The 18945-nt window shown below is 54.2% G+C and overlaps 3 protein-coding genes across 22 annotated transcripts, besides 9 other annotated features; 2 read left to right on the forward strand and 1 right to left on the reverse strand.

The window, feature by feature from the left end:
- Window positions 1123–1417: a silencer, noted in NCBI's record as "tiled region #6409; K562 Repressive non-DNase unmatched - State 7:EnhWF". NCBI's record gives its function as "represses a minimal TATA promoter and a strong SV40 promoter by Sharpr-MPRA in K562 cells {active_cell/tissue: K562}" and the evidence as "EXISTENCE:reporter gene assay evidence [ECO:0000049][PMID:27701403]".
- Window positions 1123–2160: a biological region, named in NCBI's record as "Sharpr-MPRA regulatory region 6409".
- Window positions 1321–2160: an enhancer, noted in NCBI's record as "H3K27ac-H3K4me1 hESC enhancer chr1:155097367-155098206 (GRCh37/hg19 assembly coordinates)". NCBI's record gives its function as "activates a minimal SCP1, AML or CMV promoter by ChIP-STARR-seq in naive H9 embryonic stem cells {active_cell/tissue: H9 hESC(naive)}" and the evidence as "EXISTENCE:reporter gene assay evidence [ECO:0000049][PMID:30033119]".
- Window positions 2161–3000: an enhancer, noted in NCBI's record as "H3K27ac-H3K4me1 hESC enhancer chr1:155098207-155099046 (GRCh37/hg19 assembly coordinates)". NCBI's record gives its function as "activates a minimal SCP1, AML or CMV promoter by ChIP-STARR-seq in naive H9 embryonic stem cells {active_cell/tissue: H9 hESC(naive)}" and the evidence as "EXISTENCE:reporter gene assay evidence [ECO:0000049][PMID:30033119]".
- Window positions 4197–4256: a silencer, noted in NCBI's record as "silent region_1393". NCBI's record gives its function as "represses an Ori minimal core promoter by ATAC-STARR-seq in GM12878 lymphoblastoid cells {active_cell/tissue: GM12878}" and the evidence as "EXISTENCE:reporter gene assay evidence [ECO:0000049][PMID:35858748]".
- Window positions 4306–11329, forward strand: EFNA1 (ephrin A1). 2 transcript variants are annotated; one of them, NM_004428.3, is made up of 5 exons: window positions 4306–4499; window positions 7769–8064; window positions 9933–9998; window positions 10160–10210; window positions 10385–11329. In NM_004428.3, the coding sequence occupies exons 1-5, from the start codon at window positions 4408–4410 to the stop codon at window positions 10495–10497; spliced, it is 618 nt and encodes a 205-aa protein (NP_004419.2). In that variant the 5' UTR covers window positions 4306–4407; the 3' UTR covers window positions 10498–11329. The 2 variants fall into 2 exon arrangements, with proteins under 2 accessions (NP_004419.2, NP_872626.1); NM_182685.2 differs by lacking the exon at window positions 9933–9998.
- Window positions 11723–11812: an enhancer, noted in NCBI's record as "active region_1806". NCBI's record gives its function as "activates an Ori minimal core promoter by ATAC-STARR-seq in GM12878 lymphoblastoid cells {active_cell/tissue: GM12878}" and the evidence as "EXISTENCE:reporter gene assay evidence [ECO:0000049][PMID:35858748]".
- Window positions 11805–15283, forward strand: SLC50A1 (solute carrier family 50 member 1). 17 transcript variants are annotated; one of them, XM_047425443.1, is made up of 6 exons: window positions 11805–12110; window positions 12729–12826; window positions 13258–13381; window positions 13991–14152; window positions 14409–14528; window positions 14610–15283. In XM_047425443.1, exons 1-6 carry the CDS (start codon window positions 12102–12104, stop codon window positions 14709–14711), a joined length of 615 nt encoding a protein of 204 aa, XP_047281399.1. In that variant the 5' UTR covers window positions 11805–12101; the 3' UTR covers window positions 14712–15283. The 17 variants fall into 17 exon arrangements, with proteins under 17 accessions (XP_047281399.1, XP_047281398.1, XP_005245399.1 ...); XM_047425442.1 differs by having other exon boundaries at window positions 11805–12028; XM_005245342.4 differs by having other exon boundaries at window positions 11805–12028; window positions 12729–12806.
- Window positions 12083–12322: a silencer, noted in NCBI's record as "silent region_1394". NCBI's record gives its function as "represses an Ori minimal core promoter by ATAC-STARR-seq in GM12878 lymphoblastoid cells {active_cell/tissue: GM12878}" and the evidence as "EXISTENCE:reporter gene assay evidence [ECO:0000049][PMID:35858748]".
- Window positions 16321–16961, reverse strand: DPM3 (dolichyl-phosphate mannosyltransferase subunit 3, regulatory). 3 transcript variants are annotated; one of them, NM_153741.2, is made up of 2 exons: window positions 16921–16961; window positions 16321–16675 (listed from the first exon to the last, which is right to left on the reverse strand). In NM_153741.2, the coding sequence occupies exon 2, from the start codon at window positions 16668–16670 to the stop codon at window positions 16392–16394; it is 279 nt and encodes a 92-aa protein (NP_714963.1). In that variant the 5' UTR covers window positions 16671–16675; window positions 16921–16961; the 3' UTR covers window positions 16321–16391. The 3 variants fall into 3 exon arrangements, with proteins under 3 accessions (NP_714963.1, XP_016856987.1, NP_061846.2); XM_017001498.2 differs by having other exon boundaries at window positions 16321–16701; NM_018973.4 differs by lacking the exon at window positions 16921–16961 and having other exon boundaries at window positions 16321–16837.
- Window positions 16901–17030: an enhancer, noted in NCBI's record as "active region_1807". NCBI's record gives its function as "activates an Ori minimal core promoter by ATAC-STARR-seq in GM12878 lymphoblastoid cells {active_cell/tissue: GM12878}" and the evidence as "EXISTENCE:reporter gene assay evidence [ECO:0000049][PMID:35858748]".
- Window positions 17201–17260: an enhancer, noted in NCBI's record as "active region_1808". NCBI's record gives its function as "activates an Ori minimal core promoter by ATAC-STARR-seq in GM12878 lymphoblastoid cells {active_cell/tissue: GM12878}" and the evidence as "EXISTENCE:reporter gene assay evidence [ECO:0000049][PMID:35858748]".

The raw sequence follows: 18945 nt of genomic DNA on the forward strand, positions 1-18945 counted from the left end.
TCAAGTGATTCTCCTGCCTCAGCCTCCTGGGTAGCTGGGATTACAGGTGTGTGCCACCATGCCTGGATAATTTTTGTATTTTTAGTAGAGACGGAGTTTCACCATGTTGGTCAAGCTGGTCTCAAACTCCTGACCTCGTGATCTGTCCGCCTCAGCCTCCCAAAGGGCTGGGATTAGAGGTGTGAGCCACCATGCCCGGCCAATAGTCCTAAATTCTAAGAGCCAATCCACCCAACTGCTCAGCAACTGAGGGATGTCTGAATGTGCATGGATATGTTTATTTCTGTCCTGCTTTCATTGCAATGGCAAACTCTGAAATACTCACGTAATGAAGCATTACACTCCCTTTAAAACATTGTTTACAAAGGGTTTATAACATGGAAAATGTCTTCTGTTGTAAAGGGAAAAAAAGAAGCACACAATTGAAATGAGTCATGTTTATCACATTGTCTAAAAGCAAGCAAAATCTCTTCCCCAGCAAAAAGCTGGCAGGGCAGGGAGGCCAATGTTAACAGCAGCCGGTGGTCCTCCCCTCCCCTTATCCTCCTGTTCTCTATTTTCCAACTTTTTTTTTTTTTGAGATGGAGTGTCACTCTGTTACCCACGCTAGAGTACAGTGGTGCGATCTCAGCTCACTGCAACTTCCACCTCCCAGATTCAAGTGATTCTCCTGCCTCAGCCTCCCAAGTAGCTGGGATTACAGGCACCCACGACTACACCCAGCTAATTTTTGTATTTTTAGGAGAGATGGGGTTTCACCATGTTGGCCAGGCTGGTCTCAAACTCCTGACCTCAAGTGATTCACCCGCCTCAGCCTCCCAAAGTGCTGGAATTACAGGCGTGAGCCACCGTGCCCGGCCTATTTTCCAACTTCTGAAAAATGTGTGCACATTACTAATAAAGTGGGGAAGGGTATACTTTATGTTTCAAAATGACCTTGAGGGAGTACGACAGAGATTGCTCTCAGCCCAGGTTCTGCTCCTCCCCCTGCTGCCTCACCCCATTGCCCAGAGATGACCCCTGGGGCTGAGCCAGGTTTCACTTGCCCCAGGGCCCTGCAGCTCTGGCCTTCCCCTCCCCAAACTGCAGGGCACCCAGCAAAGGAGTCGCAATCCAGTACCTGCACCTGTTCCCAACTGGAAATGCTGCCTCCAGGCAGCCAGGGCCTACCCCAAGACCTCAGAGGAATTTCCTCTGAGGAAATTCCTGCCCTCCCAGGAATTTCCAGAAAGGACTCATGGAGGAATTTCCTAGACATGCAGACAGGCAGACAGACAGACACCTCAGGCAGCTCTCGTCACTAAGCGCAGATGTTTGCCTGCGGGTGACGTGCTGGGAGCCAACACAAGCACACAATTTTGCGGCGAGAGGCAGCACGAAGCAAGAATGGAGAGCAGACCCACCCGGGCAGGCTGGGGGCTGGCATGAGGAAGGGACTGGGAGGGGGCCCCAGAGTTGGTCAGCAGATCGAGTCTCCAGGAACAGAAGTCCCTACTATTATCTCTGTCTGAATGGCACAGTGCCCTGCAACTCTCCTCTCAGCACAGCAGGCATTGCAGGGGCTCCAGGAAGGGTCAGGGTAGTGTGACTGTGAGTGGTAGGGCCGCAGTCTGGGCTTGAGCACTTAGCAAGTTTGCTGTCCTGGTGGCTTGTCAATATCCCCTACCGGCCTGGGGGCTCCCCAAGGTAGTGATTTTATCTTAAACCCATCCTTACACTCTCGGTGCCCATCGCAACACCCAGCTCATCACAACACTCAGTGTCTAGGGCTGCTCCAGTAGGGTGGATGATCGACCCCCATATGGATAGGGGAGTGGATAGAGAGTGATGGGATCAATGCCCTAAGTGAGATGAGAATACTGGGGACAGCACCAAAGCAGGGAAAGAGGGCTCCGGGTCCTGTCGGTGCGCAGAATTTCCATGCACGCTTCTGCACCCAGCTTGCTCCAGACCTAGACGCAGGCAAGAGCTGACGTGGCCCCGCCAGACTGGGCCCAGCGAGCCCGAACCTGCCTGGCCCAAGCAGCTGCAGCGTGGGACTTCACACGTCCCCGCCCAGTCCCAGTGGTCAGAGAAACCAGGGAATCCGGCCCAAAGCTGTCTCCTCCAGGAGGCAACCCGGGCCACCTGCTCTAAAGAGCTACCAGCATCCCTCCCCTCTTCAACCCCCCTGCTGGCTCCTTTTCAGAACAGTTATGTCCAGCAGAAGTTAAGTTCCTTCACTGAACAGTGAGTGATTTCACTCACTCCACAGATATTTACTGACCATCTACTGTATGTGCTAGATGCTGTGCCAGGTGCTGGCAGTAAGATAATGAACAAAACAAAAACCCATGTCCTCCTGGAGCTTTGACTCTATGGAATGCCCGAACTGGGAGGCAGTACTCTCGCCGGGGCCACGTGGGAGGTCGACACCCAGGTGTCCTCCTAGGTGAGCAAAAGGCGCGTGAGGTGCCGCCCTGGGAGCAGTCGGCGGGTGGACTTCGTCCTGGGCGAGAGGAGCGGGCCGCACCTCGGACAAACGCTTGGCTGGGCACGTCGCCTGGGGCAGGTGCCCGAGGGAGAGGGGGGTGGCGCTGGCCGTGCGCAAAACCCGGCCCTGACCCGGCCACGGGGTTAGAGGCCGTTGGTACTCTATGTTTATTGTAAACGCAGCGAATACGGCCTCCAGCGGCCTCAGCGCACGTGGTGGTGCAGTGGGGAGCCGGCTGGGCCCTCCCCAGCTCCAGGCTCCTCCCCGGCGGGGTCAGCGCCAGACTTGCTGCGGCGTCCGGGCCCCGCGTAATTACAGGGGCTGTAGCCAGGCCTGGCCGTAAAATAGGAGGATGAAACGGCCTGGGAACTGGAGAAGCTGGGCCGGAGCTGGCCAGGGGCCCCGGGTCCGTGGCTTCCCGCGATGCGCAGCCGCAGGGAAGGGCCGGCTGAGGATGCGCACACACACTCACAACACCAACCTGGCGCGCACACAGCCACACAACCACACACGTAAACCACCAAACGCACGCAGACACACAGCATTCGGCTCTCCCACTCCAGGCTCACTCGTGAGCCTAATCAAACACCTGCCCGCCCTCTCCACCCCAGGAGCTGACACCCGCCCGCCAAGCCCTCTCCAGACGGCAGCAGATCCAGGCGGGGAGAAGAGCCCCGAGAGGCAAATTCCAGTGGGTTTGTTTACACAGCGCGGGGGAGGGGGCCTGAGCCGGGTACTGGGGCCCGACTGACTGGGAGCCCCAGCTCAGACTGGGCCAGCTCCAGCTGTGCAGCCTGAGGACTGCGCACAAACGCCCCTCCGTTCCACCCCACCCCCGCTGCACGCCGGTACGCGTCTCCCCTCCTCTTCACACGCTGTTCACAAACATTAGCATACGTCTGTCAAAGAGTTTCACACGCTTCCACACACGCGGCTGTGATACTACTCACAAATGCTTTCATGCTAGCGCGCCATCACACGTATTTCATGTGTGGTTACAGTTTGTCACCCTTCATGCCCAGATTCTCACAGTCCATATTCAAGAGCCTGTTCGCACGGTGTACGCGTGTGTTGTTACATATACTCAGGTTATTAGCGCTCTTTGACTTATCTAAAATAAGAACGGCCCCCTCTCGAGCCCAGGGTCCCGCGTGTCGCTCCTGCGGGCAGGCACTGATGTGATGGACAGAGGCGTCCTTAGCCCCGGCCGCACACGTTACACACTCGATCACACAAAGCGTTGCACTTTATTCCCGGCATCTAGGCGATGACACAATCTCCAGAACAAAGACAACATTGACAAACCCAACAAAAACAAACAGCCGCGTGTGTGTGGGGAGGGGCAGTCAAGCGCAGAGTCCGGGAAGGGGATGGGGGAGGAGGAGAGTGTGGGAACGCGGGCGCCCGAGCCTGGGCATGCGAGGCTCAGAAAGGTGCGGGGCATGTCAACAACCTCGCACCCTGCAAGGTCCGCGCGCGGAGCAGCAAAGCCGTGTCCCGCACCCCCGCGTTCGCAGACTCGCACTTGCGAGTTCTTCCCTTCTCCCGCACGCGACTGCGCCCAGGGACGCAAGCCCACCACCGGGACAGGCTCACAAAGCTCCACGCAGACCCACAAGTGAGCGAACACACATCTCTGAGCAGATCTGCGGGGGCAGAGGAGCGCGCTTCGCTCTTTCCTGCACCCCCAGCCTCCTCGCCTCCCCACCCCGCCCCTCCTCCACCTCCCCAGCCCCCAAGCCCCCAGGCAGCCGCGCGCCGGGCGGGGCGAGGGCGGGGCGGGGTGTCGGGCGGCGCCGGCCCAAAAGGCGGAGTCGCTAGGCGAAGGGGCCAGATCTGTGAGCCCAGCGCTGACTGCGCCGCGGAGAAAGCCAGTGGGAACCCAGACCCATAGGAGACCCGCGTCCCCGCTCGGCCTGGCCAGGCCCCGCGCTATGGAGTTCCTCTGGGCCCCTCTCTTGGGTCTGTGCTGCAGTCTGGCCGCTGCTGATCGCCACACCGTCTTCTGGAACAGTTCAAATCCCAAGTAAGCCTCGAGACTCCCGCTGGCAGCCTGGGCTCCCGGCTGGCACTACCCCACCGGGATAACTGTCCCGGCCAAACCCTGAGCTGAGCCTAGAGTAGATGACCGAGGTAGGAGGGCGGCTGTAGATTTTCCTCCCCTCACTTCTCCGTCATATCTGGGAGCACCCCACCCCGGGGCATGCTTGTGTCTACTTGCATGGGCTTATATCTGCCCTTCCCTTCCTTCTCTCTGGCACCCCTATTACTCTAAAGTGAGGGACTCATGCTGGGCAGTTCCTGCCTTCAGCATAGACTTCGCCCCTGGCAGCCAGGGCCCTTGTTCCAGGCCCCCCACCCCCCCACTGTGAAAGCCTCCACGCCTCTCCTTGTGTGTCCTTTGGGTATCTGACCACACTGACAGATACCTGGTGTGACATCAAGAGTGCACAGAATGCTCAAGGTAACCCTGGAAGGACCTCTCAGGAGAGAGCTGGGCTGTAGGCATTCATTATGCATTCACCCTGTATTTAAAGCAAACCTGGAAAGTCCCTCACTAGGGGTCTTTTGGGGTGGCATGAGTGAGGCACATGCTGTGCATGGGTAGGCTGAGGGAATCACCTGTTTATGGGGCTCTCAAGTAGTAAAAGCGAAGAGCTGGGAGAGGGAGATCATGGGAAAGCTTCAGAATGAACAGAAGAGGTTAAAGGGGTTACAGAAGGTTCTGGGCAGGAAGGAGTTAATTTCTCCTGGGCAGGTTTAGGGCTGTGAGGCAAATGGTACTGGGAGGAAGACTCTGTCGGCCCCTTTGTTCTTGCCCTTGAGTTTTCTGAAGTTATGGGAACAATATTTGAGGGAATACAGGAGAGGGTGGTAGGGAGGAGCAGGGAGAGAAGTGGGCAGCTTGGTATCACGAAAGCCATCTCACCGGCTTAGCCACTCTCGGCCCTAGCAAGCTTGCCCCCCACTCCCCTTGAGAAATATGTTGTGCCAGCTTCCTCTGACCCCGTGTCATCGTCTGGTGAGGCAGTCTGTTGTCTGTGGCTTGTTAGGGTGGGGGAGAGAACAGCCAGCTGCCAACCCCAGAGGGCAATGCCCTCCTGCCCATGGACGCTGGGGAGGCTCAGCCAGCCCTCCGCCACCCGCTCCCTGTGCTTTGCCTCCTTGACCTGATGCATCTCGCCCTAGTATGGGAGAGAGCAAAGTCCCTGTTTATGCCCATGCCAGGTGTTGACTGGAGGAGGAGGAGGGGACAGGAAGCCATGAGTAGGGAGGGGGGGACCCTGGCCTTTTCCGTTCCCAAGCTCCCAGGTTTCCTCTCTTTCAGGAAGGAGCCTCTTCCTTACCCACCTCCCCGCCTTCCCTGACGCCGCTGCCCCCCTTTCCCAGATGGGGAGCAAGAGTCAAATGAAGGCTAAGTACAGCAGACTGTACCCCCAGGAGAGGGGGCTGATGGGTGACCCTCTGGCCACACACACACACACACACACACACACACACACACGCACACCCTATCATACCCAGGACTAAAGAGACGCCAGTCCAGAGTAGAGTCCGTAGGCAGCCAAGCTGGGCCCAGCGTGGGGGCAAATATGAGGCTACAATGAACGGGGTAGGTGAGGCTGGCATGGGTGACTCAGGCCAGTGGGCAGCAGCCCTGGGATCTCCAGGCCTCAGGCGGGGGCAGCATGCTGAGAAGGGCGCCAGCCTCCCTCATGCTGGAGGGCAGGCCCCTCATTCTGACCTGCCAGCTCCCTTTGTTTGGAGGACACTGTTGGGGGTGAGTGGGCGCTGTGCCCTCCTGGGGTCCTGGGGGCTGTGCACATTTGACAAGGTAAGTTTTCACAAGTTCTCATGAGTGCTGGGGCGGGTAGCAGAGGTGGATGAGGAATGAGTCAGTGCCCGTCACGGGAATGAGGGAAAGACGCCAGGCCCAGAGCTGAAATACCTGTTCTGAAATGGCTTCTATGTTTATCTCTCCAGAGAGGAATTTTAAAAGCCTCTCTCTGCTCCTCTCTTTTCCCCAGGGTGGGGGAGGGGCCTGGTAAGCCCAGTTTGGGCGCTGGCACGCTGCTGCAAAGCCTGGCCTCTCAGGGGTCATGCTGATTGGGCAGTGGGTGCCCACCTCCGAGTCCTCTCTGCCTGACTCCTTCCTCGCCCTCCCAGCCGTGGCCAGGGCTTTCAGTTCGAAGCAACTTAGCGCTAATTCTGCTGGGTCTCTAGCTGGCAGTGCCTGGGGGAATTAGAGAAACTGACCAGCTTGCGGGGTCGGGGGAAGCACTTTTCCCCCTACTGGGACCCCACCCAGGCTGGAGCCAGGTGTCTGGAGCTGGTGGGGAGGGGCTGGTGGGCAGTCAGGCTGGAGCCGGTGGGGCCAGGGGGAATGAACTAGGGGAGGGGTGCTGGCTCCACCTTGGGAGGAGGGGAGAGGAGGGGAGAGGGGGAGAGGAGGAGAGAGGGGAGAGAGGGGAGAGGGGAGAGGCTGTCTCAAGCTCAAGCTCAGAGCTCCAGCATTTCATCTAGGGGGAGGTGGAAGTGTGGCTTTTAGAGATAAAAGGACAGGGTTGTTTTGGGGTGCTCTGAGAAGGGGAAAAGGAGACCAGTGTATAACTTTGAGTAGCTAGAACGGGAAGATTTGAGGGGGCTGAATGAATTGATGAGAGTGATTTAACTTAAAGGACTGGGGCATTATCTGTGGGCCCGGGTATACTAGCTTCACTTTTGAGGAAAAGTGAAGCTGGGAAATGTGAGATCTACTCAGTGGGTCCGGGGAAATGTGAGAGGAGTAAGGAAAGTGAAGACACAGATGTGTTGGAGGCTCCAGGCTAGCATGGTAAAGAGAAAGGGTTTCCTGGATTCTGATTACAGAATGGACCTGTGGGGGTCTCAGATTGAGGCCTAACAGCATTTAAAAGGAGCAACTGGTAGAACAGATTTGGGGAAATATTTATGGGTAGAAGAGAATGATAAGTGAGCTACAGAAATAGGTAGAAGCCCATCTAAATATCAGGTAAGTATCAGGGGGGTTATGGAAAATGCTTTGGTACCCGAAAGATACTGAGTGAATGCTATTTGAAGGACCAACAGGAGACAGTGATGGTGCAGGGGAATGTTTAGAGATGGCAGAGAGAAATGTAAGACATCAAGATCAGTACATATTGGGAGTTGAAACTTCGGAAAAATCTCTTGGGGTCCAGTGTGAAATGTGAGAGGTCATGTAAACATTCAGAGGCCCAAGGATCTGGCCTGGCTTCTGAATGACCACCTGCTTCTTCCCCCTGTGTGTGTCCCCAGGTTCCGGAATGAGGACTACACCATACATGTGCAGCTGAATGACTACGTGGACATCATCTGTCCGCACTATGAAGATCACTCTGTGGCAGACGCTGCCATGGAGCAGTACATACTGTACCTGGTGGAGCATGAGGAGTACCAGCTGTGCCAGCCCCAGTCCAAGGACCAAGTCCGCTGGCAGTGCAACCGGCCCAGTGCCAAGCATGGCCCGGAGAAGCTGTCTGAGAAGTTCCAGCGCTTCACACCTTTCACCCTGGGCAAGGAGTTCAAAGAAGGACACAGCTACTACTACATCTGTGAGTGCCTGTGAGGGGACAGTGTCTGTGTTTCTTTTTTGCCATTACATACATGCTTGGGTACATGCTTGGTGTAGAGTCCAGCAGCAGAGGGCCCCTTCCGATCTTGAATTCTATTTTCATTCATCTACATCCCAATGTGAGTGAGCTTCTACTATGTGCTGGGCACTCTGTTTAGCGCTATGAGCACAAAGATAAATAAAACACTACAGAGCCCCTGTCCTCAAGGAAGCTGGGAAGAAACACACATAGGTTAAGAGACCCTTAGAACAGTGTGCTACAGTAGACATGAACACAGGGGCCTTGGGAAAATGACCTGGGCACCTGCCAGGCTATGGGGCTCAGAGAAGGCTCAGTGGGGAAGATGGTCCCAGAGCTCAGGACAAGCAGAGGAGCTGGCCAGGCATGAAGGCACACGTACAAAGGGAGCATGACATCTTCAGGGAACTTCCTGTGGCTCAGCCTGGCTGGAGTTGGAGGGACACAGGAAGTGAGGAGATGTGAGCCTGGAGAGGTGGACAGAACAGACCATGGGGGAACTAAAAGGTGATAAGGAGTTTGGACTTTATCCTGAGGGCTCTCGCCACTGATGGGTTTTATTTTATTTTATTTTATTATTATTATTACTCTTGAGATGGAGTTTCACTCTTGTCGCCCAGGCTGGAGTGCAGTGGTGTGATCTCTGCTCACTGCAACCTCTACCTCTCGGATTCAAGCAATTCTCCTGCCTCAACCTCCCAAATAGCTGGGATTACAGGCACCTGCCACCACGCCCAGCTAATTTTGTATTTTTAGTAGAGATGGGGTTTCACCATGTTGGTCAGACTGGTCTCGAACTCCTGACCTCAAGTGATCTGCCCGCCTCAGCCTCCCAAAGTGCTGGGATTATAGGCATGAACCACCGCGCATGGCCTGATGGATTTTAAAAGTTATGAGATCATCCAGCACTTTGGGAGGCCGAGGTGGGTGGATCACCTAGGGTCAGGAGTTCAAGACCAGCCTGGCCAACATGGTGAAACCCCAACTCTACTAAAAAAATACAAAAATTAGCCGAGTGTGGTGGCGCACTTCTGTAGTCCCAGCTACTCAATAGGCTGAGGCAGGAGGATCGCTTGAACCCAGGAGGTGTGAGGTTACAGTGAGCCGAGATCACACCATTGTACTCCAGCCTGGGTGACAGAGGGAGACTCCGTTTCAAAAAGAAAGTTATGAGATCAGCTTTGTATAAGATGGATCTAGGACTCTGTCGGTGGGGGCTAGGCAGGAGTAGTTTTTGTTTTTTTGTTTTTTTTCTGAGACAGAGTCTCGCTCTGTCGCCCAGACTGGAGTGCAGTGGCACGATCTCGACTTGCTGCAACCTCCACCTCCCGGGTTCAATTGATTCTTCTGCCTCAGCCTCCCGAGTAGCTGGGACTACAGGCATGTGCCACCATGCCCGGCTAATTTTTGTATTTTTAGTAGAGACGGGGTTTCACCATATTGGCCAGGCTGGTCTCGAACTCCTGACCTCGTGATCCGCCCACCTCGGCCTCTCAAAGTGCTGGGATTACATGTGTGAGCCACCGCGCCTGGCCTAGGAGTAGTATTAAGTGGCCCAGGCAAGAGGAACATATTCAGACTCGGAGGAATGAAGGATGAAATGTGGGGAGGGGCAGTGTCTATGCTGAGGGTTATTTCCAAAGAATGAGAGGCTGGGCTGAACATTGGGCAGGAAGTTAGCAAAAACTAAGGAGGGTAGGAATCAAGGTTAGAGGGAAGAGAAGAATGAAATTGAGTAGGGAGCTGAGAAAGCAGGGCGAGGGGCATTTGGACTTACATTTTCTTCCAGCAAAGGTTTCTTATTTAACCCCTGTGGGCTTATCTTGCAGCCAAACCCATCCACCAGCATGAAGACCGCTGCTTGAGGTTGAAGGTGACTGTCAGTGGCAAAATCAGTGAGTGTCAGAGCCCTGTGGGCCTCCTTCCTCCATCTCTATGCTGGGTGCGGTCTAGTGATCTAGGATGGTATAGAAGTCTTGCAGCCCAGCCCACTCATACTTACAGCCCTCTGCCTCTTTGATACAGTACCTGATCTACTACCACTCTTGTCTTTCAGCTCACAGTCCTCAGGCCCATGACAATCCACAGGAGAAGAGACTTGCAGCAGGTGGGTAGCTGGAGCAAACTGGGCCTGGGGCACAGGAAGGGGTCTGCTTGAAGAGGTTGGGTACAGGAGGTGGCTCCTTTACCAGGCTGAGGCTGAGGGAATCCTGTTGGGCTGAGAGCCAGTACAAATAGTGGAGCCACTCACACTGGTGGCCTTTGCCCTCTCACCTTGCAGATGACCCAGAGGTGCGGGTTCTACATAGCATCGGTCACAGTGCTGCCCCACGCCTCTTCCCACTTGCCTGGACTGTGCTGCTCCTTCCACTTCTGCTGCTGCAAACCCCGTGAAGGTGTATGCCACACCTGGCCTTAAAGAGGGACAGGCTGAAGAGAGGGACAGGCACTCCAAACCTGTCTTGGGGCCACTTTCAGAGCCCCCAGCCCTGGGAACCACTCCCACCACAGGCATAAGCTATCACCTAGCAGCCTCAAAACGGGTCAGTATTAAGGTTTTCAACCGGAAGGAGGCCAACCAGCCCGACAGTGCCATCCCCACCTTCACCTCGGAGGGATGGAGAAAGAAGTGGAGACAGTCCTTTCCCACCATTCCTGCCTTTAAGCCAAAGAAACAAGCTGTGCAGGCATGGTCCCTTAAGGCACAGTGGGAGCTGAGCTGGAAGGGGCCACGTGGATGGGCAAAGCTTGTCAAAGATGCCCCCTCCAGGAGAGAGCCAGGATGCCCAGATGAACTGACTGAAGGAAAAGCAAGAAACAGTTTCTTGCTTGGAAGCCAGGTACAGGAGAGGCAGCATGCTTGGGCTGACCCAGCATCTCCCAGCAAGACCTCATCTGTGGAGCTGCCACAGAGAAGTTTGTAGCCAGGTACTGCATTCTCTCCCATCCTGGGGCAGCACTCCCCAGAGCTGTGCCAGCAGGGGGGCTGTGCCAACCTGTTCTTAGAGTGTAGCTGTAAGGGCAGTGCCCATGTGTACATTCTGCCTAGAGTGTAGCCTAAAGGGCAGGGCCCACGTGTATAGTATCTGTATATAAGTTGCTGTGTGTCTGTCCTGATTTCTACAACTGGAGTTTTTTTATACAATGTTCTTTGTCTCAAAATAAAGCAATGTGTTTTTTCGGACATGCTTTTCTGCCACTCCATATTAAAACATATGACCATTGAGTCCCTGCTAAGTGCGAGGCTCTCTGTGCTACAACAGTAGCAACTGGGTTTGAATTTCTTTCTCTCCAAAGAATGTGTGCCCCTCACGAGGCCAAAAGGGTGGGATGTTTCCTCCTCTGAGGGCTGTCCAGGACCGGAGTGCTCCTGACAGCTGTCTCTCGGGTTCTGAGCTGCACTCCACTCTGGAAGTTCTTCCTATCCGACCTCTACCCCACTCCCACTCCGTCACCGCAGGGCTTTGGCATACTACCATTCAGGTACTCACGCTGTTTCGGTGAGTCAGGGAAGCTGGGAACGCCAGCTGAGGCATGCGGCCCCGCCCCACAGCCACACTAGCAGAGACGTGTGGGAGGCTGGGAGGGAAAGTTCCCAGTAACAAGTGGGTTGGACCGGGGGTCAGTGATAGAGGCGTCAGTGGATTGGCCACGTCATGTAAAGTTGACCCGAGAGGGAGGGCAAAAGAGGAAGGCTTGGTGATTCCTGGTAATGTGTTATTTTGAGAAAAAGCTTCGGCAGCACACTCCAGAAAAAAACTTCCCAAACCCTGGGCAACTGAGGTTCTGATGTGGAGCTCTGGATGGAAAGCGTGCTGAAGTCTTGTTAAACTAGCAAGCTTTTGTTTGGAGGTCCACCGCCGAAGGCGCACAGGCCTGTGGGAACACGAGCGTTGAGACTGGGGGCGTCTAGATGATCCAAGGGGTAGGCAGAGTGTGAGCAGCGGCAGGTATCGGGGACACACCCGCGGAGCCCTAGGAAGGGGACTGACCGGGACATGGAAGAGGTCTGGACCAGGGTACTGGGAAGGCGCTCGGAGGAGAGGGGCGCGAGTTCCGGTTCGGCGTCGGAGGGAGGGTGGGGCTTCGGCGCAGTTTCCGGAGGGACGGCCCGAGCGTGCGGGGGCGGAGCCGAGTGCGCGGGGCGGGGCTCCAGAGCCGCAGGTCTGGGCTGCAGTAGGTCCCGGCAACCGCAGGCTCGCGGCGGGCGCTGGGCGCGGGATCCGACTCTAGTCGTAATGGAGGCGGGCGGCTTTCTGGACTCGCTCATTTACGGAGCATGCGTGGTCTTCACCCTTGGCATGTTCTCCGCCGGCCTGTGAGAGTGCGGCCGGGCTGGGTTGGGGAGGACTAGGCAGTCAGGAAAGGAGAGAGAGGGGACAGAGACGTGGCCACAGCACCTGGCTCGTCCGGAACCGGGATCAAAGTGGGATCGGGTCGAGGGGACCGGGGTACAAGGGCGAGGCTGGTCACTAGGCCTGAAGGAGAAGGCAGGATAGCTGGCGGGGGGGAGAGGGGGCGGGGTCTGCGGTGGTCCGGAAAGGATGACAGGCATTGGGCATCCCCCTCTAGCACTCTGCTTCTCCCTTCCCACCCCCACCCCTCCCTTCGGGGCCCCATTACAGCTCGGACCTCAGGCACATGCGAATGACCCGGAGTGTGGACAACGTCCAGTTCCTGCCCTTTCTCACCACGGAAGTCAAGTGAGGGGCCGACGGCTGCGGTAGTGGGAAAGGCTACCAGAGGGAGGTGGGGGCGGGGCAGGAGGAGCAAGAGTGAAAGAGGTTTGGCCGGGCGCGGTGGCTCACGCCTGTAATCCCTGCACTTTGGGAGGCCGAGACGGGCGGATCACGAGGTCAGGAGATCCAGACCATCCTGGCTAACACGGTGAAACCCCGTCTCTACTAAAAATACAAAAAATTAGCCGGGCGTGGTGCCGGGCGCCTGTAGTCCCAGCTACTCGGGAGGCTGAGGCAGGAGAATGGCGTGAACCCAGGAGGCGGAGCTTGCAGTGAGCCGAGATCGTGCCACCGCACTCCAGCCTGGGCGACAGAGCGAGACTACGTCTCAAAAAAAAAAAAAGAGTGAAAGACCCTTTGGGTCCTCCTCTCACACTGAACCCTTTGAGCCATGTCCATCCCCTCCACCCTGCAGCAACCTGGGCTGGCTGAGTTATGGGGCTTTGAAGGGAGACGGGATCCTCATCGTCGTCAACACAGTGGGTGCTGCGCTTCAGACCCTGTATATCTTGGCATATCTGCATTACTGCCCTCGGAAGGTAGAGGCCCTCCCTTGGACCCACCTATCTGCTGCACGCCCTGCCTTGCTGGCAGGGCAAACACTATTTCCTAGAAGACTGTAACAGCTGGCACTGCCACCTTTTCCAGGAAGGCCTCTCCAGCCTTGCAGGTCCCCTTCCTCTATGAAGCCAGCCTTCTGAGATGAACACATTGCCCCCATTTAGGCAAGGCTGGTAGCTCTGCCTAGCCTGAGATGCCTATGCTGCCTGCCCTGGGCTTCAGCCAACAAGCTAAGGGGAAAGGGCTTTTGTCTCTGATATTTCTTTCAGAGCCAGGGCCTGTGGGTGAGAATGAGATGATTAGCTCTGCGTCCCTGCTAAATCACACAAGCATTTATGAAGCTCCTACTGTGTGTGCCAAGCACACAGAAAAAAACACATATTTATCTCCCCCAGAAGTCTCCAGTGTTGTGGGTGGATAAGACTTTCCTATCAAGTTGGTGGTGGGAAAGAAGCTGTGACAGTGCAGTGCTGGAGGCCTAGACAGCTTGGCTTCCCCATTGGAGCACTGGAGAAGGCAGGATGAATTAACTCTAGCAGGGAAGTCAGAGTGCACATCTGGAAGTAAGGGTACTCTCTCCCCTGCAGCGTGTTGTGCTCCTACAGACTGCAACCCTGCTAGGGGTCCTTCTCCTGGGTTATGGCTACTTTTGGCTCCTGGTACCCAACCCTGAGGCCCGGCTTCAGCAGTTGGGCCTCTTCTGCAGTGTCTTCACCATCAGCATGTACCTCTCACCACTGGCTGACTTGGTGAGTGGGGGTGTCCAAGGAGGTAGGAGAGATAAGAGTCAGGCTCTCATAGCCAAATACTATGGCTTACAGTCCCGAGGAAGGGGAGATCCAAACCCTGGAAGAAGACAAGGCAGTAGAAGTGGGCGAGTGGGAGGCAGGAAAGGTTGGGTGACAGATCAGGGAGGGTGTCTGACCTTTTTCTTGAGGAAATTCTTAGGCAAGTGAAGCTTTACGATGTGCTTGGGCCAAGAGAGTCTTCCATTCTTTCCCACAGGCTAAGGTGATTCAAACTAAATCAACCCAATGTCTCTCCTACCCACTCACCATTGCTACCCTTCTCACCTCTGCCTCCTGGTGCCTCTATGGGTTTCGACTCAGAGATCCCTATATCATGGTAAGCACAACTGGGATGGGGTGACAGGGGTGCAAGATGGAAAACTGGCTCCTCTCCTCATAGCAGTTCTTGTGATTTCAGGTGTCCAACTTTCCAGGAATCGTCACCAGCTTTATCCGCTTCTGGCTTTTCTGGAAGTACCCCCAGGAGCAAGACAGGAACTACTGGCTCCTGCAAACCTGAGGCTGCTCATCTGACCACTGGGCACCTTAGTGCCAACCTGAACCAAAGAGACCTCCTTGTTTCAGCTGGGCCTGCTGTCCAGCTTCCCAGGTGCAGTGGGTTGTGGGAACAAGAGATGACTTTGAGGATAAAAGGACCAAAGAAAAAGCTTTACTTAGATGATTGATTGGGGCCTAGGAGATGAAATCACTTTTTATTTTTTAGAGATTTTTTTTTTTAATTTTGGAGGTTGGGGTGCAATCTTTAGAATATGCCTTAAAAGGCCGGGCGCGGTGGCTCACGCCTGTAATCCCAGCACTTTGGGAGGCCAAGGTGGGCGGATCGCCTGAGGTCAGGAGTTCAAGACCAACCTGACTAACATGGTGAAACCCCATCTCTACTAAAAATACAAAATTAGCCAGGCATGATGGCACATGCCTGTAATCCCAGATACTTGGGAGGCTGAGGCAGGAGAATTGCTTGAACCCAGGAGGTGGAGGTTGCAGTGAGCTGAGATCGTGCCATTGTGATATGAATATGCCTTATATGCTGATATGAATATGCCTTAAAATAAAGTGTTCCCCACCCCTGCCCACGATGGTTCATTCTCTACTCATAATTCTAAACCTGCCTGGTTTGGTGAAGGATAGATCCACAGTTATTCTCAGGTTGGTAGGGTAGGCTCAGAAAAGGTATCTCAAAGAACCAAAAGGTTGGAAAGACCCAGGAAGGCCTTAAAAATAACAAAACTTGGATGTTATGAAGAATGGAACTTAGGCTTCAAGAAAGTACTTCTGGCCGGGTAAGGTGGCTTATGTCTGTAATCACAGCACTTTGGGAGGCCCAGGCAGGAGGATCACTTGAGCCCAGGAGTTTGAGAACAGCCTGAGCAACACAGCGAGACCCTGTCACTACAAAAAATTAAACATTAGCCTGGTGGCGTGGTGGCATATGCCTGTAGTCCCAGCTACTCTGGAGGCTGAGGTGGGAGAACTGTTTGAGCCTGGGAGGGTGAGGCTGCAGTGAGCCATGATTGCACCACTGCACTCCAGCCTGGGCAACAGAGTGAGACCCTGTCTCAAAAAAAAAAAAAAAAAGAAGTAGTACGCCGGGCGCGGTGACTCACACCTGTAATCCCAGCACTTTGGGAGGCCGAGGCGGGCGGATTACGAGGTCAGGAGATCAGACCATCCTGGCCAACACGGTGAAACCCCGACTCTACTAAAAATACAAAAAATTAGCCAGGCGTGGTGGCAGGCGCCTGTAGTCCCAGCTACTCAGGAGGCTGAGGCAGGAGAATGGCGTGAACCCGGGAGGCGGAGCTTGCAGTGAGCCGAGATCACGCCACTGCACTCCAGCCTGGACGACAGAGCAAGGCTCCGTCTCAAAAAAAAAAAAAAAGAAGTACTTCCTACAGGGTTGAAAGGACCAGGAAAGTGAAATGTCATTTCCATCCTGAGAAATATTGAGAAGGGGTCTTTGCCTCCTTGGGAGCAAAAATGGGAACACCAGCAAGATGCAAAGATAAAGGCTGAGATGGCCTCAAGAAGGTGGTTCTTTCACATTCACTTCTCGACCGTTAGTACATAGAATCCCCAATACCCGTTTTCCATACTCAAACTAAACGAAGTTAGAAAATAAACTGGCTCTTTAATGGGAAATGGGAGGAAGGGCTGTCCGCACAGGAATGGGGTTAGGCTGTCAGAAGCGCAGCCCCCTGCGGGCTAAGTCGGCTCGGGCCTCCTGTATCTGGCTCTGCAGCTCGCGTGCGGCGTCCTCGCAGTCATGAAAAGTGGCCACACGATAGCCCACAGTGCCCAGGGCATAGCAGCCGGCGGACACCAGCAAGTAGGCGGGCAGTGGCCACAGGACTTCCTGGCAGGACAAGGGCAGCTCCAGGCCCAAGGCTCCCGTGGTCAGGGCCACCCAGGTGGAGCCCAGGATCGCTAGTCCCCAAAGCCACTGCGCTAATTTCGTCATGGTCACTGCGAGAGAAGGAAGCAATGCTCCCCTGAGGAGCAGAAAGGAAAAGCGGACCAAACTCAACCGAAGCCCGCCCACGGAGAGCATTAAAACCAGCCCTGGCCAGAGGGGAATCGCCGATCCCAGAGGTCCGAACTTGAGTGCCCACAAAAGGTGGAAGGGCCCCTTCCACCTTGCTACCCCCTCTATATTTGAGACCCACTCCCCATCTCTCGCCCTCCCCATTCAGCCTTCAACCTACACTTACCTCTACCCCACGTCTCCCCTTCCCCGCGCGGCCCGGATGTTGGCGTCCGGAAGTCCTCCCTGGTTCACGTTCCGCTTCCGCGCGGCCTTCTGGGAGTTGTAGTTCACATGGCGGCGCCTGGTGTACTCCTGGCCAGCGCCTCAATCTAGGCGGGGGTACAGTGGGCTGTGCTCCGCAAACGGGGAGCAGGCCGGGTCTGGAGAGGCCTCGGCGCTGCTTTCCCACCTTGGGCTACGCTCCAGGCTGGCGTGGGGCTTGAGGACATCCTTAAATGTTGCAACAAGATGGGAATATAATACCATTCCCCTTAAACTCAATTCTCCAGCGCTGAAATCCATTCCTTCATTCACTAGTTCATTCATTCGAAGATTTCTTTCTTTCCATTCTTGACAGGGTCTCTCTATAGTGCCTAGGCGGGACAGAACTCCTTTTTTTTTTTTTTTTTTTTTTTTTTTTTTTTGAGACAAAGTCTCGCTCTGTTGCCCATGCTGGAGTACAGTGGCTCGATCTCAGCTCACTGCAACCTCTGTCTCCCGAGCAGCTGGGATTACAGGCGCGCGCCACCACGCCGGGCTAATTTTTTTATTTTTAGCAGAGAACGGGGATTTCACTATGTTGGCCAGGCTGGTCTCAAACTCCTGACCTCAAGTGACTGGCCCACCTCAGCCTTCCAAAGTGCTAGGATTACAGGCATGAGCCACAGCGCCCGGCCAGAACATTTCTTGATTACCATGATAGACTTTGGAGATACAGAGATGTCAAGAGACTCGACCCCTTTCAGGTGGAGGGGGAAAGCAGGAGTCAGTGAAGCAGTTGCATTGACAACTAACCATGAAGGCTTGAGATTATTGTTAGAACAGAGGTAGTCATATTTTTACAAGGACAACAACCAATATAACTTGGAGCCAGAGGAAGAAGGGCTCCAGGAGTCTGGGTTTCAAAAAAAAAGAAAAGAAAAGAAAGACCAGAAGAATTACCTGAAGTGGTGAAGGCATTGAAAGAAAGAGTATAATTCTTTAGAACAGTTTTGGGGATGAATTTATTATGTATAGAGAGAAAGAGAGAGAGAGAACAAAGTAAGAGAAAAGGTTAGGCAATTATCAACTTCAGAGGAAACAAAGAGTTATATAAGAAAGGAAAGACAATTGATAAGCCTGTCTTATAAAGACCACATCTGTAGTTTGACAGTTAGGTTTATTAACTTGCCACAACAGAGAGATCACACACTAGAAGAACTGTGGGGCAACTCATTAAAAAGGAAGAAATATGGTCATTCAGATGATATGGTTTGGCTGTGTCCCCACCCAAATTTCAAGTTGATGTGTATCTCCCAGAATTCCCACGTGCGAGGGACCTAAGGGGAGGTAATTGAATCACGGGGGCCAGACTTTCCCGTGCTATTTTCATGATAGTGAATAAGTCTCACAAGATCTGATGAGTTCATCAGGGGTTTCTGCTTTTGCTTCTTCCTCATTTTTCTCTTGCCACCGCCATGTAAGAAGTGCCTTTGTCTCCCGCCATGATTCTGAGGCCTCCCCAGCAATGTGGAACTGTAAGTCCAATTAAACCTCTTTTTGTTTGCAGTTTCGGGTATGTCTTTATCAGTAATGTGAAAATGAACTAATACAACAGGATATGGGAAAGGCTTGACTTTAAAATTTATATTTTAAAATTTATTTACTTATTTATTTAGAGTTGAAGTCTCGGTATGTTGCCCAGGCGAAGCTCAAACTTCTGGGCTCAAGTGATCCTCCTGCCTCAGCCTCCCAAGTGGCTGATACTATAGGCTAGCTAAAATTTAAATGAAACAGTGTTTTGATCGGTTCGAGGTAAGCATAACTTTAAGTGAAGGGATCAAGAAGTCCAAGCTGAGGGACCACTTGGAAATTACAAAGTCAAGATAAATATAGAATATAGTGTCCAAAAACCCACTATCTAGGCTGGGCACAGTGGCTCGTGCCTGTAATCCCAACACTTTGGGAGGCCAAAGTAATCCACGTGGCTCAGAACTTCTGGCAAGAGTAG

This window comes from Homo sapiens, chromosome 1 (genome assembly GCF_000001405.40).
Source record: "Homo sapiens chromosome 1, GRCh38.p14 Primary Assembly".
Classification (NCBI taxonomy): domain Eukaryota; kingdom Metazoa; phylum Chordata; class Mammalia; order Primates; family Hominidae; genus Homo; species Homo sapiens.

Excerpts from the sequence above, each read along its gene's own strand:
- EFNA1 (NM_004428.3), top strand. The coding sequence starts at position 4,408 with ATGGAGTTCCTCTGGGCCCCTCTCTTGGGTCTGTGCTGCAGTCTGGCC. Across the intron at positions 4,500-7,768 it reads TGGAACAGTTCAAATCCCAA|GTTCCGGAATGAGGACTACA; the intron begins GTAAGCCTCGAG and ends GTGTGTCCCCAG. Across the intron at positions 8,065-9,932 it reads ACACAGCTACTACTACATCT|CCAAACCCATCCACCAGCAT; the intron begins GTGAGTGCCTGT and ends CTTATCTTGCAG.
- SLC50A1 (NM_018845.4), top strand. The coding sequence starts at position 12,342 with ATGGAGGCGGGCGGCTTTCTGGACTCGCTCATTTACGGAGCATGCGTG. Across the intron at positions 13,382-13,990 it reads TGCATTACTGCCCTCGGAAG|CGTGTTGTGCTCCTACAGAC; the intron begins GTAGAGGCCCTC and ends TCTCCCCTGCAG. Across the intron at positions 14,153-14,408 it reads TCTCACCACTGGCTGACTTG|GCTAAGGTGATTCAAACTAA; the intron begins GTGAGTGGGGGT and ends TCTTTCCCACAG.
- DPM3 (NM_018973.4), bottom strand. The coding sequence starts at position 16,760 with ATGCTCTCCGTGGGCGGGCTTCGGTTGAGTTTGGTCCGCTTTTCCTTT.